Here is a 17,853-nt window from a genome sequence, read left to right on the forward strand (position 1 = left end):
GTTTAAAGTCTCAAACATTTCAAAAACCCAAGGGTGGGTGCAGTGGCTCACGTCTGTAATTCCAGCACTTTGGGAGGCTGAGGCAGGAGGATCGCTGGAGGCCAGAATTTTGAGATCAGCCTGGGCAACATAATAAGACCCCATCTCAGTAAAACATCTAAAAATTAGCCGGGTATGAAAAATTAGCCATGCGTAATGGCGCATGCCTCTAGTCCCAGCTACTTGGGAGGCTGAGGCAGAAGAATCTCTTGAATCTGGGAGGTAGAGGTTGCAGTGAGCTGAGATCGTGCCATTGCATTCCAGCCTGGGTGACAGAGCGAGACTCTGCCTTTAAAAAAAAAAAAAAAAAAAAAAAAGTCGGGTGTAGTGGCTTACACCTGTAGTGCCAGCTACTCAGGAGGCTGAGGGGGGAGAATCACTTGCGCCTGGGAGTTTGAGGCTGCAGTGAGGCGTGATTACACCACTGCACTCCAGTCTGGGTGACAGAACAAGACCCTGTCTCACACACACACAAACACACACACACACGCACACACACACACACACACACACACACGGAAAAAAAAAAAGCTTTCTCAGAGAAGTCCTGGCAAACCGACCTTCTAGAAAAAGAAAACTGAAAACCTCTGCTGGAAGATTAAGAGCCTAGGACAAGGTAACTGACATCAGTCTCATCTAACCAGGGGGAAAAAACATCCAGATATGAGAAGAAATATATCCCATTTCCACATGAGTCTCTAAATACAAATCAGAGTGGTCCCAAATGGCCTTAAGGAGTTTGCTATTTCAAAAGCTTAGAAGAAATAGCCATTTATTTTTTTAAAAAGGATCTACATGTTTTCATCTGACTCAGAGAAAAAGTCTATTTTATTTCTTTTCTCTCTTTTTTTAGACAGAGTCTAGGTCTTACGCTGTCACCCAGGCTGGAGTGCAGTGGTGCAATCACAGCTCTCTGCAATCTTGATCTCCCAGGCTCAGGCAATCCTCCCACCTCAGCCTCCTGAGTAGCTGGGACTACAGGCATGCGCCACCGCACCCAGATAATTTCTGTATTTTTTGTAGAGACAGGATTTCACCATGTTGCCCCGGCTGGTTTTGAACCCCTGAGCTCAGGTGATCTGCCCACCTCGGCCTCCCAAAGTGCTGAGAATACAGGCGTGAGCCAAAACTCTATTTTATTTCTAAAGCACTATCTGGTTTAAAAGCATGATATAAAAGGAAACAAAAATAAACAAATATTCTCATAGACTTCACATACACCCAAATCCTCTTTTCAGTTCTTAAAAATACAGTAACGACGGATTCCTCTAAGCCAGCAGTGAAAACGAACCTTGAACTGTGAGCTGACTGTAGGCCGCCGATGTTTGCTTCCACATTTCAAGGTATCCTGGTTGTTGCGGCTTGAAACATGTTCAAAAAGATCGTAGATAAAGTCAAATCTGTGTGAGGCAAGAGCAGGAGGTCAGTGAGGCACACACACCCATTATTAGGTGCAAGATTATTGTAATTAATGGTGCCCTTTCTCAATGATAATTCAAAGTAATACACCCTAGGCCTGGAAGAACTAAGACAGCTTCCAAAGATTTCAAACCAAACACTGCCAAAGAGCTTTAGGCACTGAAAACACGTGGCAGTGTCAGAGACCAGAGTCTTGCAGAGAAGGGGACTGGCATGACAGTGACAAAGGGTGGAATCCCACTTAGGAGCTCTGTGCTTTCTGGAATGCCATCTAAGCCTCTGTAGCCTCGGTCTCCTCACTTGCAAAAGTGAGTTATTAGTTTTGCCATCTTGCAGTGTTGCAAAGATTGAAGCAGTTAACGGATGGAAAGGTGCTCCTGGGGAACACTAATTACAGGGTGAGGCAGGCGATGGTTCAAATCCTGTCTCCCCACTTCCCAGCTGTGTTGCTTGGGCAAGATGTTTCATCTCTCTCTAAGCCTCAGTTTTTTCATCTGGAAAATGGAGATAATTTTTTAATTTATCCCCTAATGCCAGGTGAGAATGAAAGGAGAACATGCATGTAAAAGGCAGAAAGCATGCTACCTGGCATATCATATATATTGATATTAGTTATTATTTAAAAAGTTCTGTAAAATCCATTGCTACTATTAACAAGGTAAAAGTGAAAAGCTTCCCAATAATTTTTTTTTTTTAGACAGAGTTTCGCTCTTTCACCCAGGCTGGAGTGCAGTGGTGCGATCTCGGCTCACTGCAACCTCTGCCTCCCGGGTTCAAGCGATTCTCCTGCTTCAGCCTTCTGAGTAGCTGGGATTATAGGCGCCTGCCATCACGCCTGGCTAATTTTTATATTTTGTAGTAGAGACAGGGTTTCACCATGTTGGCCAGGCTGGTCTTGAACTCCTGACTTCAGGTGATCCACCCGCCTCGGCCTCCCAAAGTGTTAGGATTATAGGCGTGAGCCACCGCGCCCGCCCAGCCTTCAATGATTTTTAAATCTTCCTTGCATGGAAGGTATCATGGGCTATGGAGCTGGTGGGGTTGGTGGCTTCACTGTCACCAGGACAGTCAGGGAAGACTTCTGAGCATCTGCCTCCCCACAAGCGGCAATATTAGAGCTTTCCCTGGTCGCTTCTTGCTTTGCCCCAACCTTTTTCATTTTTGTTCTCGGGTGCTCTTTAATGCTCACTCTCTTAAGTTCTCTAACTGTGCTTTGAGCTCTTTGGAGAGAAGCTTTGGTTCCATTAAAATGTCACAGATGTCAAAGGTGAAAGAGAGTGAAGCAAGTGAACAGCCCCAGCTCCTCGGTTTGCAAGGGGAAACCTGGGGTTGAGACAGGAAGTTCTTTACACCACTCACAAAACTGCTTCACGCTGGCACAGAGGCAGCTGGCGAAACTCCACCTCGCTGGTCTCCAGGCCTGCAATCTTTTCACTACGACAAACTGCCTCTACTTAACATCAATACAGGGCTTTTATTTAAACGTATCGCATTAAACTAAGAAATTGCTTTGACAGCATGCTATGGTGTTTTTTAAACACCCATCATTTTTACAGGTCTGAAAACTCACCTAAAAATAAAATAGCTAACAATGTTGTATATAGTGAACCCTCACATAGAAGAGTTAAAATAAGTTTGAAGATCAAATGTTTCAAATTCTGAGTTTCTAGGCTGATACTACCTTATATGGGCTCCCTTTGTCCCAATTCATTCCTATCTAAGTGACAGGTGGCCATCTAGTATTTACATTTCTAAAAGTATTACAGCTTTTAAACTTTTTTGCTACTTTCCTTCCTTAGATATAAACATGTGTTTTTGTTACAGATTCCCACCAGATCCAACACAGGTGCTGAAAGCTTTCAGGAAAGGGTTTTTTCCCTAAACTCTTTCTCTCTTACAAAGCCTCCTAAAAATAGTACACTTCCGCCGGGCATGGTGGCTCATGCCTGTAATCCCAGCACTTTGGGAGGCCGAGGTGGGCGGATCATGAGGTCAGGAGATGGAGACCATCCTGGCTGACATGGCGAAACCCTGTCTCTACTAAAGATACAAAAAAAAAAAAAAAAATAGCCAGGCGTGGTGGCGGGCACCTGTAGTCCCAGCTACTCGGGAGGCTGAGGCAGGAGAATGGCGTGAACCTGGGAGGTGGAGGTTGCAGTGAGCCGAGATTGCGCCACTGCACTCCAGTCTGGGTGACAGAACGAGACCCTGTCTCCAAAAAAAAAAAACAAACCAAAAAAAAACCAAAAAGGACACTTCCTGGTCTAATACATACAAATAACTTATCACTGCAAGTTTCTGTGTGTTTTCTTTATTGATTTAATGGTGTAAATTTATAATTCATGAACGAATAAATGAATATGTAATAAATTTATAATTATAGCTGAATTAAGGCATTTATTTTACTAACTAGAGACACAGGAGTCCTATAAAACCAAGGCTGAAATCAGCTTAACCACGCAGCTCTAAGCTCCCTGTGAAGACAGCAGACCACACTGCTTAAGATATTAAGGTTCTCAAGCCAACCAGACCAGATCAAAACTGGACTCGATGGCTCACTGGTTACCAGTTGAGAGGTCTTGGGGAAGTCACTTAACAGCTTTAACTGCTTCAAGGCTCGGTTTCCTCATCTGCATAAGAGGATTAATAACAGTATGTTACTTATACCTCTGTGGTTGGTTTATTTCAGTACCTCACTAAATGGCAGTCATTGCTTATATTATTATTATTATTATTAATTTATTTATTTATTTATTTATTTTGAGACAGAGTTTCACTCTTGTCACCCAGGCTGGACTGCAATGGCGCAATCTTGGGTCACTGCAACCTCCACCTCCCAGGTTAAAGCGATTCTCCTGTTTCAGCCTCCCAAGTAGCTGGGATTACAGGTGCCTGCCACCATGCTTGGCTAATTTTTGTATTTTCAGTAGAGATGGGGTTTCACTATGTTGGCCAGGCTGGTCTCAAACTCCTGACCTCACGTGATTTGCCCACCTTGGCATCCCAAAGTGCTGGGATTACAGGCGTGAGCCACCATGCCCGACCTTGCTTGTATTATTGTTATACTTTTGAGTTACTTCATTGATGAAGTATTACCTGGGAAAAACAATACTAAGTTTCTTACATAACAGCAATTTGTTCTATATTTGTGAATTAAAAGCATTTGCACAAATATTCATTTGCTTGCTAAGTACTTCTCGGTGAGAAGACTGACATACCGGCTTTCTCTTAGCAAATTGAGAAGGTCATCTCGAAATGTATCTCTGTTCTTCTCCAAGATACCTCGGACATCATATTGCACCTAGTTTTAATAAATAAGAGAGGAGAAAACTGATTGAAAGAATAGTTTCAGGTCATAAGCAACTTCCCTGAAAGAGCCACAAAAAGAAATCATTCCAAGAAATTTATTTATTTATTTTTTAAGAGACAGGGTCTTGCTCTATTTCCCAGGCTGAAGTGCAGTGACGTGATCATAGCTCATGCAGCCTCAAATTCCTATGCCCAAGCAATCCTCCCACCTCGGCCTCCAGAACAGCTAGGACAACAGATGTGTCACCATGCCAGGCTAACTTTTTAAAAAATATCTTGTAAGATGTTTTTTATATCTATGTTGCCCAGGCTGGTCTCAAACTCCTGTCCTCAAGTGATCCTCCTGCCTCAGCCTCCCAAAGTACTGGGACTGTAGGCTCATGTGAGCCACCATGCCCAGCCCAATAAATTCATGATTGGCTTCTGAAACCACTGTTTTCTCTGAATACCAAACAGGCAAATATCAATAGGTATCTTAATAAAAAGTTACCTCTCCAGCATAGTGCTTCACTCCAAAATTGTTAACTGCAACTCTGGGCTTCACATAAAAGTGGTTATTCTAAAAAAAAAAAAAAAAAAAAAAAAAAAAATACAATGCCTTATTTCACTCACTGATTTCCTTTGACTTCCAGAGAACACTAAATACAAAAGACAGTGAAAATCATTTCCAAACTTGCCATGGATCTGCGTTTCAGGACACGGCATATGGTGCACTTTATAAAAACCATGTTAACTCTCGATTGTGTCATTATAATAGATTAACAATTTTACGTTCTCTAAATAAGCTTGGGCATTCTAACAAGTAGCTCCAAATCTAACCCTTTTGCTTATTTCAATTTAGTTCTAGTAATAGAAGAACAGCTTTGGTTTGAGAATAAATGTTCAATGTGGGAGGCACAGTTGGGCCAGCGGACTGACATGTCTGGTGTGTAATCCCAACCCACAGACGTGCTACTCCAATGTGATGAAGAATTGCAGGTTTTGACATACCGCATGCTGACTGTGTAGCTTCTCCAATAAGGTGCTGTCTGTGGCTTGAGGAAAATGGCTTTCTTCATTGATAAGGGCTAGGAGGCCAAGTTTCTAGAAGAAGAAAAAGAAAAAATGAATTAAAAGTTGAATGTGGCTGGGTGCATGGGTAGCTCATGCCTGTAATTCCAGCACTTTGGGAAGCCAAGATGGGCAGATCATTTGAGGTCAGGAGTTCCAGACCAGCCTGGCCAACAGTGAAACCCTGTTTCTACTAAATATACAAAAAAATTAACTGGGCGTGGTGGCATACACCTGTAATCCCAGCTACTGGGGAGGCTGAGGCAGGAGAATCACTTGAACCTGGGAGACGGAGGTTGCAGTGAGCCAAGTCTGTGTCACTATACTCCAGCCTGGGCGACAGAGTGAGACTCCGTCTCAGGGGAAAAAAAAAAAAAAAAAAAAGTTGAATGTGTGCGTCCCAAACTATTTGAGAGCTCTTCTCTACTCTCTAACAAATGAGTGGTTAAAAGAAAAGGCATGGTAATTTCTCGATTGGAAAATCCATAATGATACACTATAGAGAAAACCAATTAAGTTCTTATATAAATCTTAAAAAAAAATTGAACCCGTTGCAATTTTGGGGATAAAACTTTTACAACTGGCAAATCTATATTGGTACTGGCAAGGCTTTGCTTCTGACTTAAAATCTAAGGGAAGCCAATTCACACACTGTTGATTCTAAAATACTGAGTTCAATGAGACAATAGGTTTGAAGCAGCCAAGTATTTAAATTCAACCTTGCACATTTACATTTATGTTTCCAAATGGTCCATTGTGTTCTAAACATTCACATCGTTGATGTGCGTGTTCGTGCACGTTATTTTGTTCCCATAAATATGAATCAGTCCAGCTGGACCCCCTTGGGACTGTAACCATTCTTCAAAAATACATTACCTTCTCAATCAAGTCCAGGCATTCTCCATTGTCTATCCAGTCAATATCTTCCCACACTAATCCTTCCCTGTAGAAAGATTTTAAACAGCCAAGTTAAATGAAAACATAGCTTCAAAACGAATCTAGTTGCTGCTTTAAAAAAAAAAATTGAAATGGAATTCTATGAGTGCTTACCGGCTATATTCTAGTTGTTCTAAAGAAAAAATATGCTTGTTGAAGTACTCCTGAAGTTTCTCGTTTGCATAGTTTATATTGAACTGTTCAAAGTGATTAACCTAAGGGGGGAAAGCATTCAATAAGTATCTTTAGTGTACTCACGATTATATAGAAAGGTGAAGAAAAGACAAAGAAAAGATCTGCAGAGAAAAATATCAATGCCTGTTGTCTGGCACAGTGGCTCACACCTGTTATCCCAGCACTTTGGGAGGCCGAGGTGGGCAGATCACCTGAGGTCGGGAGTCCAAGACCAGCCTGACCAGCATGGTGCAACCCCGTCTCTATTGAAAATACAAGAAAAATTAGCCGGCTGTGGTGGCAGGCACCTGTAATCTCAGCTTCTTGGGAGGCTGAGGTGGGAGAATCACTTGAACCAGGATGTGGAAGTTGCAGTGAGCTGTGATCACGCCACTGCACTCCAGCCTGGGATACAGAGTGAGACTCCTTCTCAAAAAAAAAAAGAAAAAAAAAGAGTTTGCTCACAGAGATTTGTTCAATAGCAGCTAATCATGGACAGAAGAGAATTCACGTGCTGCACTGTTAGGAAACCTACCTCAAAGTTTTCAAATCCAAAGATGTCGAGGATGCCAATAGACTTGAAGTCCTCATTGCCTTTGATCCTGCTGTTGATCTTCTTGATTACCCACTCAAAGCAGCACGCATACAGAGCCATGGCCAGGGAGTCCCTGCTGTCTACTGCCTGTGGGAGAGAAACCAGCACAGACTCAGCTGACCCCGGGCACCCCAGACAGGCAAGGCCATCCATTCCCCACTTGAGAGACACACACAAGACTAGCATAGCATCTGGCCCTCCAGTGTGAAGTCAATCGATCTCATCTAGGAAAGGACAGATATCTAAAGAAAAGATAAACTGGAATTCACATATTTCTCTTCTGTTAAGATTAAATACCAGGATTCCAAACTCAACTTGCTATGCTGTTATACAAAAGAATCTAAACCATATATACAGGTACAAATGTTACCAGGTTTTTTTTGTTTTTTGTTTTTTTGAGACGGAGTCTAGCTCTGTCACCCAGGCTGGAGTGCAATGGCGTGATCTCGGCTCACAGCAACCTCCACCTCCCAGGTTCAAGCGATTCTCCTGCTTCAGCCCCCTGAGTAGCTGGGATTACAGGCATGTGCCACCACACCTGGTTAATTTTTCTATTTTTAGTAGAGATGGGGTTTCTCCATGTTGGTCAGGCTGGTCTCAAACTCCTGACCTCAGGTGATCTGCCCGCCTCAGCCTCTCAAAGTGCTGGGATTACAGGTGTGAGCCACCGCACCTGGCACCAGGTTTAAAACAATAATTAAGATGTGAGCTCTTTTTAAAATTTTTCTGATTTTCTATTATACTTTGTATTTACAAAGTTTTTCTTCATAATATGGTCAGCATTTTCATTTATCCAATTAAAAACATATTAGAGGAGTGTGATGGTTAATACTGAGTGTCAACTTGATTGAAGGATACAAAGTATTAATCCTGGGTGTGTCTGTGTGGGTGACATCTGAGTCAGTGGGCTAGGGAAGGCACATCCATCCTTAATCTGGTGGGCACAAGCTCCTAGTGAAAATAAAGCAGGCAGAAAAATGCGAAAAGGCGAGACTGGCACAGCCTCCCAGCCTACATCTTTCTCCCATGCCGGATGCTTCCTGCCCTAGAACATCGGACTCCAAGTTCTTCAGTTTTGGGACTCAGACTGGCTCTCCTTGCTCCTTAGCTTGCACACAGCCTATTGTGGGACCTTCTGATCATGTAAGTTAATACTTAATAAACTCCCCTTTATATCTATCAATCTATCTATCATATTCTGTCCCTCTAAGAAAACCCTAATACAAAGAGCTAGCACATATACATTGGCTCAGCGCAGTAGCAGAGGCAAATATAAATAAAACATATTATTATATTGTTTTCATTATAACAACACATTATTGTCGTAAGTAATGTTTATTTAGCACTTACTCTGTACCAGACATTAAATGCTCAGCATATATTTGTTATTTTTCTTATAAGAGTCCTATGAATTAGGTATAATTATGCTTGTCTTATAGTGGAGGAAACTGAGGCATAGTGACTAAATTTCCCAAGAGCAGACAGTAGTAAGTAGAAGGGTCAAGTTCAAAGTCAGGCAATCTGCATTCGACCCATCCTCTTAAACAACAATTCGATGTTATTTTAGACAATTAGACAGCAATTCAATAGCTTTGTCTATTCCCAATCCTTTGGTATCTTCTTTATTTTTATCATGAACCAGTCATTTGAACAGTTATTAATATATTACAGTTACAACTGTTATTATAATTACATATTTCAATCAAACCTATGGATCTGAAAACCCAGGAGTGTCTAGTAACGCAAGATCAGATGGCAAAGCGTGTGTACCTGTTGAACATTGAGAGGCGTGAGGATCTCTTCTCCCCTGAGGAACATTGATCTCTGGGTCAAAGCATCTGTGAGCTGTGTTGGGTCCAGCCCAAGTAACTCCGCAGATCTGCCCAAAGCTGCAGAGAATAAGACAAAGGTGAATGAACCCACCGCCCCCAAGAAGCTAACCAGGCTTAGCGATACCTTAACGCAGAGAACACACCTGAATCCCTCACGCAGAGTTTAGAGATTGCATGTTATTGCTAAGTTACTCATTCCCTTAGTGAATCCTAGATTAGTAGCATAGAGCCTCGTGCTTGGACGAAGTGTGGTCTGGGAATCCTATGGGTGTCCCCAAGATCCTGTCAGAGATTTGCAACTCCTTTTTTTTGAGACGGAGTCTCGCTCTGTCGCCCAGGCTGGAGTGCAATGATCTCGGTTCACTGCAAGTTCTGCCTCCCGGGTTCACGCCATTCTCCTGCCTCAGCCTCCCAAGCAGCTGGGACTATAGGCACCCGCTACCACGCCTGGCTAATTTTTTTGCATATTTAGTAGAGATGGGGTTTCATCATGTTGGCCAGGATGGTCTCAATCTGTTGACCTCCACGTTGGCCAGGACGGTCTTGATCTCTTGACCTCATGATCTACCCGCCTTGGCCTCCCAAAGTGCTGGGATTACAGGCATGAGCCACCATGCCCACCTACTTTCTTTTTTTTTTTTTTTTTGAGATGGAGTCTCACTCTGTAGCCCAGGCTGGAGTACGGTGGCATGATCTCAGCTCACTGCAACCTCCGCCTCCCTGGTTCAGATGATTCTCCTGCCTCAGCCTCCTGAGTATTTTTAGTAGAGACAGGGTTTCACCATGTTGGCTAGGTTGGTCTTGAACTCCTGACCTCAAGTGATCTCCCTGCCTTGGCCTCCCAAAATGTTGGGATTACAAGCATGAGCCACCATGCCCGGCCTACTACTTTCATTAATAACACTAAGATGTTATCTGCTTTTTTCACTCTAATTCTCTCACCAGTATACAGAAGAGTATTCCAAAGGCTACACATGAGGTACCTCAACAAATTAAAGGCAGAAGAGATATGACAACCCAACTGTCTTTTTTTTTTTTTTTTTTTTTGAGACAGAGTCTTGCTTTGTCTCCCAGGCTGGAGTGCAGTGGCATGATCTCGGCTCACTGCAACCTCCGCGTCCTGGGTTCAAGCGATTCTCTTGCCTCAGCTTCCCAAGTAGCTAGGATTACAGGTGCCCGCCACCAAGCCCGGCTAATTTTTGTATTTTTAGTAGCGACGGGTTTCACCGTATCGGCCTGGCTGGTCTCCAACTCCTGACCTCACGTGATCCACCTACCTTGGCCTCCTAAAGAAAGTTCTGGGATTACAGGTAGAAGCCACTGCGCCCAGCCCCCAACTGTCTTTCAATATGCCAGACATTAAAGAAATTTGCAAAAAGATAAGACAATGTGACTATCCTTCCTGTTTTCTGATTTGGAAAACAGTCTTTTAAATAAAAATAGAACATTTATTTTAGTATGCAATGGGTTTATTATTGTTCTTTTTAAATTAATAAAGAATATTTTTTAAACATCTCATTTTAACTTTTGATTAGAAGTTTTCACTTTTTTTTTGAGATAGAGTCTCACTTTGTCACCCAGGCTATAGTGCACTGGCATGATCTTGGCTCACTGCAACCTCCACCTCCCAGGTTCAAGAGATTCTCGTGCCTCAGTCTCCCAAGTAGCTGGAATTACAGGCGCACACCACCACGCCTGGCTAATTTTTGTATTTTTAGTAGAGACGGGGTTTCACCATGTTGGCCAGGTTGGTCTCGAACTCCTGACCTCAAGTGATCCACCTGCCTCATCCTCCCAAAGTGCTAGGATTACAGGCATGGGCCACTGTGCCCAGCCAAAAAGTTTTAACTTTTAATGTGGTAAACATCAACAGATACAACCCACATAAACAAAAGCTCTCGGGGGTTCTATGATTTTTGAGAATATTAAGAGGTGCTGGGTAGAACCAGACATTTGAGAATTACTGGCCTACAGTTCTGGTCTCCTCTAGAACCACTCTGAACTTGAACTCATCCAATTTCCAGCTTCCATGACCTCATCTCTTGCTTCCATCAGAAAAGTTTTAAAAATTAATACATAAATCACTCAAGCAAAATGACAACTGACGTAGCTATATGGTAACTCATTTTATCTTGACAGCAAATCTCTGAGACACTGTACAGGTGAGAAGTCATGAGTATTCAGGGGATAAAGAACACAGGAAACAGTATGAAGCAGGGGAGGGCTATGAAGCCAGCATACTGGCTTGCAAAACAAAGGGACTTAATTAACCATTCTACCATGCTGGCACTCAACAGGACAATGCCACCTGACTCTCAACATTTTCCTATGTCGATTCCTGGTTGCTCATATTTCCACGTACTTGACTCATTTTCCTTCTTTTTAAAAAGAGAAAATGGCTGCTATCCCAATTGACTAGTAACTTTTCATATACTCTGAGCCTTTCCTAACCGACGCTTCATATCTGACACAACTAACATTCTGTAGCTCTCTATTCAAGGAGTCAGAACATTTTCTCTTTTCTTTTTTTTTTTTTTTTTTTTTTTTTGGTGATACAAGATCTCACTCTGTTGCCCAGACTGGAGTGCAGTGGCATCATCTCAGCTCACTGCACCTTCAACCCGCAGAGGCTCAGGTGATCCTCCCACCCTCTCCTCCCAAGCAGCTGGGACTACAGGGGCACACCATCATGCCTGGCTAATTTTTGTATTTTTAGTAGAGATGGGGTTTGGCCACATTGCCCAGGCTGGTCTCGAACTCCTGGGCTCAAGCAATCTGCCCGCCTCCACCTCCCAAAGTGCTGGGGTTACAGGCAAGAGCCACCGCACCTGGCCAGAATTTTCTTTCTGAAAGGCTAGACAGTCAATAATTTAGGTTTAAGTTTCCCACGGGGAACAAAGGGAGCGAGGAGGGCAGGCAGGCATAATCTTACCTGTTTTGAAGGAAACCTGTGCCCCACCAGCAGTGATAAATTCTATGTTCCCAAGATGCAGTATACCAGCAAGCAGCCTCGACACTTCCCGAACTTCCTCCTTGCTGAACTGCATCACGTCCATTGCCGTCTAGAAGAAAATAAATGTATTTAATTTTATGTCGTTTTTTCACACTGAAGAAAATGTAGAATATCCCTGATAATATAAAATTACTAGGTGTTATTGAAAAGGCAAAGAAACAAAAAATAGATGCATAACCACTCACTTGTTTTTTTGTTTTGAGACAGTCTCGTTCTGTCACCCAAGCTGGAGTGCAGTGGCACGATCTTGGCTCACTGCAACCTCCGCCTCCTGGGTTCAAGCAATTCTCGTGCCTCAGCCTCCCGAGTAGCTGGGATTACAGGTGTGTGCCACCATGCCTAGCTAATTTTTTGTGTGTGTTTTTTGTAGAGACTGGGTTTCACCATGTTGACCAGGCTGGTCTTGAACTCCTGACCTCAAGTGAGCCACCAACCTTGGCCTCCCAAAGTTCTGGGATTACAGGCGTGAGCCACCGCGCCCGCCCAATAGCAACTCACTTTTAAAATGATGAGGACATTACATAGTGCACATAAGAGGAGGAAGATAAAGAACTATAGCATGCTCAGAGATAATCAATGAAATAAACATAGTGTCCCCCTTACATACAAGCCTCCTATATATGCTACAAAAGAATTACCTCAGGGAGTCACAGTCATGACAACAATAAAGAAACAGTTTTCTGTACAGCTATCAGAGTGTAATGAAATATTTATTATTTTCTTTAGATGTAAAAATGTGGAGAGGGAGTACTTGGAGAGGGGGTGTATTTTTGTTTTGTTTTGTTTTGTTTTGTTTGTAGAGATGGGGGTCTCATGTTGGCCAGGCTGGTCTCAAACTCCTGGCCTCAAGCAATCCTTCCAGCTTGGCCTTCCAAAGTGCTGGGATTACAGGCGTGAGCCACCATGCCAAGCCAAGAATTTTAAAAAATTAGCCAGGTGTGTTGGTGCACACCTGCAGTCCCAGCTCCTGGCTTGGCTGAGGCAGGAGTATCGCATGAACCCAGGAGTTCAAGGTTACGGTGAGCTATGATCGCATGTGTACTCCAGCCTGGGAGCCTGGGTGACACAGTTAAGACCCTGTCTCTTAAAAAAAGAAAAAAATTAAATAAATGCTGATGGAAAATCTAAATAGATCTGGACCTATCTTCCTTAGGCACTCATCACATCTCTATTTTTAATTTCTCCAAAGGATTTTTTATGGTCTTATCTTGGCCTGAGGATACTAAGTGGAAGTTAACATAATGCTGTTTGAGGAAAAATAAAAATAAACAGGCACTTACAGGAATCTGTTACCAACAGTATCTAAACAACTGAAGCCAGGTGTTTTCTGAATCATATCTAAGATTTGCTGATTTTCTACTGTGACTGAGGAGCTGCATTCTTGTGACCAAAAAAAGCTATTAAAAAAGAAAAGAAAACCAGACACGTACACACAAACTTGGGGGCAGACTTGTTGGCAATATCGATGAAAATGACCTACAAAAAGAACTTGGACTCACACAAGGACCATAGGAGAGTGGGAAGAAGGAAACCACGCACCGCTCTGAAGCAACATAAATTGCAAAAGGAAACAACTGGAGATTTAACACTGCGAAAAGTTCAATTTCTTTCCCTTTTTTTTGTTTTCTTTCTGAGATGGAGTTTCGCTGTTTCGCCCAGCCTGGGGTGCAGTGGCACGATCTCGGCTCACCGCACCCCGTGCCTCCCAGGTTCAAGCGATTCTCCTGCTTTAGCCTCCTAAGTAGCAGGGATTACAGGCATGCGCCACCACGCCTGGCTAATTTTGTATTTTCAGTAGATACGAGGTTTCTCCATGTTGGTCAGGCTGGTCTCGAACTCCCAACCTCAAGTGATATGCCCACCTTGGCTTCCCAAAGTGCCAGGATTACAGGTGTGAACCACCACGCCAGGCCAAGATTAATTTCTTTATAAAGAAAAAGCAATAATGGCAGGAAAGAAAAGGCAAACAATGGAGAGGGAAAGAATTAAAAGATCCACTGACATATACATGAGCGATAAAAATAGGGAGAAATGCAAATCCAGAGTACTGTTTTTTTCCTTCCTAGAAATCGAACATGTACAAATTAAGGTAAATATGAGATCAGTTCTGTCAAATTAGCAAAAAATTTCAGAATGACAAAGATTAGTAGAAAAGAGACATTTATACAATGGTTGTTAGTACTATAAATTAGTATAATCTTTTTGGAAAACAACATGATTATCTGACAGAATTGTCCTAGGTATATAATATGTATATAATACTAGAATTTTCATATCTGAGAGAAAAACCAACAACAAAGGTTCAGAGAAGAAAAATAACTTTCTCAGGGTCGCACAACCAAAATTCAAACTCTGGCCCAACTGACCCAAATCTAGGAACTTACTATTATGATTTATTATTATTATTATTATTATTATTATTATTATTATTATTATTATTTTGATACAGGGTCTCACTCCTGTCACCTGCACTGGCGGGCAGTGGTGTGATCAAGGCTCACTGCAGCCTCGACTTCCCAGGCTCAGGTGATTCTCCCACCTCAGCCTCCTGAGTAGCTGGGACAACAGGTGCACACCAACACACCTGGCTAAATTTTTGTATTTTTAGGAGAGATGGAGTTTTGCGGTGTTGCCCAAGCCAGTCTCAAACTCCTGCGCTCAAGCAATCTGCCCACCTAGGTCTCCCAAAGTGCTGGAATTACAGGCATGAGCCACCGTGCCCAGCCAGGAACTTATCATTATTATTATTATTATTGACCCAACTCTGTTACTTTATAAAGACATAAAAAAGAAATCTATATAATCTCCAATAATTTCAATGCTGAAAATTTGTTTCAAGGAAAATTTCAAGAAAAGAAAAAAAACCTTTAGAAAACATTCACTACAGAGTTACCTTAATTAACACTTTCACAGAAAAAATAATTCTAATTATTCTACAATTATACAAGTCAAATATAGTAAGTTATATGAATATTGCATACTTTTTTTTTTTTTTGAGATGGAGTTTCACTCTTGTTGCCCAGGCTGGAGTGCAATGGCATGATCTCGGCTCACTACAACCTCCGCCTTCCGGGTTCAAGTGATTCTCCTGCCTCAGCCTCCCGAGTAGCTGGGATTATAGGCATGCACCACCACACCTGGCTAATTTTGTATATTTAGTAGAGACAGGGGGTTCTCCATGTTGGTCAGGCTGGTCTCGAACTCCCGACCTCAGGTGATCCACCCGCCTTGGCCTCCCAAAGTGCTGGGATTATAGGCGTGAGCCACGGCGCCCAGCCTATGGTATACTTTTTAAAGAAAATTATGCACATGATATAGAGGCACAGTTATATTTACAGTAGCTTTTTGTAAAAAAGCAAAAAAGCTATTTTGTACCTATATTATTTTTAAAATGCAGTCTGGGAAGAAAATTTACAAATTTGAAACTAGTTCCAATAGTTACTGTTAAGGGTTAACTGTGAGTTAACAGTGCTGGCAAGCTCATGAACATTCTATTCTATCATGTCTTTTAATGTTGCTGGCAATAAATACTTTTACAACAAAAAATGAGACAATCAATGGGTGAATGGATAAACAAACTGCTGTCTATTCAACGGAATACCAAAAAAAGCAGTGAATAGTGATACGTGCCACATGGATGGCTGGAGGAAGCTGGATACAGGACACTACATAGTGCATATTTTAGTTACATGGAACTCTAAAGAAGATAACCGTATACCAGAGGGACTAAATTAGATCAGTAGTTTCCTAGGGCCAGGTGTGGGGGGGTTGGGATTGCCTGGGAAGGGGCACAGAGAAACTTTTGGGGCAGAGGATTCCCTTTTATCTTGATCACAGTTGTGGATAAATGGGTGTGTAAATTCAAAATTCACTGAAATGTATACTTTAAATGGACGTATTTAATTATGTGTTCATTATATCTCAATAAAGTTGATTATAAAAATTAAAATACCATAAATTACTTGAAGGTGGGAAGGCTATCATTTCATGCATACAAACAGAAACAAAGAATAAGAACTATTTGCCAAGTGCTTATCAATTTTAAAAAGCCTATGAGAAAATAATTATTCAAATTTAAAGATATTTATCAGTGATTTCTTCTAAAAGGTAAAAGCAAAGAAATACGGTTAAGAAATACAAATAATTTGTTATTCTCAAGACTTTTTAAACTGTGTTAAAGACCATATCAGATATCAGCAAAATAATTATAATGCACCTACACTGTGCAAAAGTTAAATTTTTCCCTTTCTATGATTAAAGTTTTCTTCATCTATGACAAGATATATTCATAACTAATATATAATCATTTTTTAGCCTGGCAACATAGCAAGAACCCCATTTCTAAAAAAAATTAAAAATTCGCCTAGTGTGCTGGCATACACCTGTACTCCCAGCTACTTGGGAGGCTAGGGCAGGAGGATCATCTGATCCCAGGAGTTCAAGGGTGCAGAGAGCCATTATCACACCACTGTGCTCCAGCCTGGGCAACAGAGTGAGACCTTGTCTCAAAAAAAAAAAAAAAAAGTGAAATAAGTAGTAGAAAATTTCTAACTGCCAAATAAAAAATATTGACACATATCCCATAAATAAAAATTTTTGGTTAAGTTCTAAAAAAAAATACAAAGGTTGTATAAGAAGATATGTAAGCAAATGAACAAATGTGTTTACTATATTAATAAATTTGTGGACTTCTTTGCTTTCTAGTCTAACTCTAAGTGATTGGGCAAGTAGTTAGTAGTGTTGTGATAAGCGGCAACTGCATTAATCATAACATGGAATAATTTAATGTCTAAAACCAGTTCTCGCCAATGCAGACATGTATGCTAAAACTCCAGCAAGAGTCTCTATTTATTGTTTCTTACTCTCCTATTTACAATCTTTGTTAATAAGCAATCTCCACCCCTTTGACAAGAGTAGCCACTTCAAGGCTTATTATAATTAGTATTTCAACACTAGGCTTCAAGACTGAAAAAACCATGGGAAATTCTATGATTCAGCACATAAAAAACAGATGCTTGTGAACGTGAATGTGTGTTGGGGGATGGTGGCGAATACACGGCAGAGTCCCAATCATCATGCACAAAAGGAGCTCAGCTTGTCACCCTGGAAACAAAGGGAGGAGTGTCACCCTCAGAGAAGGTACCTCCAGAAGAAGTCAACAAATGGTGTGTCTGAAAGGGTGACAGGGGAGGCTATTTTGGGCACAGTAAATTACAAGTAAGTAACTCAGTAATAATTTATTACATCATGTTACTTATTTATTTATTTTTTTAATTTATTTTTTTGAGACGGAGTCTCACTCTGTTGCCCAGGCTGGAGTGCAACGGTGCAATCTCAGCTCAATGCAAGCTCTGCCTCCTGGGTTCACGCCATTCTCCTGCCTCAGGCTCCCGAGTAGCTGGGACTACAGGCGCCCACCACCACACCCGGCTAATTTTGTGTATTTTTAGTAGAGACGGGGTTTCACTGTGTTAGCCAGGATGGTC

At 41.8% G+C, this 17,853-nt stretch overlaps 1 protein-coding gene across 2 annotated transcripts in view; it reads right to left on the reverse strand.

Annotated features, from left to right (window-relative positions):
* The window catches only part of MYO10 (myosin X), a 274,382-nt gene that overhangs the window by 94,881 nt on the left and 161,648 nt on the right, over positions 1-17,853 (reverse strand). The window contains exons 10-18 of one of the 2 annotated variants that reach the window (NM_012334.3): positions 12,287-12,416; positions 9,293-9,411; positions 7,463-7,609; positions 6,868-6,968; positions 6,694-6,760; positions 5,758-5,850; positions 5,258-5,326; positions 4,677-4,759; positions 1,331-1,439 (exon numbers count right to left, since the gene is read on the reverse strand). In NM_012334.3, the coding sequence (NP_036466.2) occupies positions 1,331-1,439; positions 4,677-4,759; positions 5,258-5,326; positions 5,758-5,850; positions 6,694-6,760; positions 6,868-6,968; positions 7,463-7,609; positions 9,293-9,411; positions 12,287-12,416 (918 nt within the window). The remainder of the gene's footprint in view (positions 1-1,330; positions 1,440-4,676; positions 4,760-5,257; positions 5,327-5,757; positions 5,851-6,693; positions 6,761-6,867; positions 6,969-7,462; positions 7,610-9,292; positions 9,412-12,286; positions 12,417-17,853) is intronic. The other variant, XM_006714475.4, reaches the window with a different exon arrangement.

Source organism: Homo sapiens, chromosome 5 (assembly GCF_000001405.40).
Source record: "Homo sapiens chromosome 5, GRCh38.p14 Primary Assembly".
In the NCBI taxonomy this organism is placed as follows: domain Eukaryota; kingdom Metazoa; phylum Chordata; class Mammalia; order Primates; family Hominidae; genus Homo; species Homo sapiens.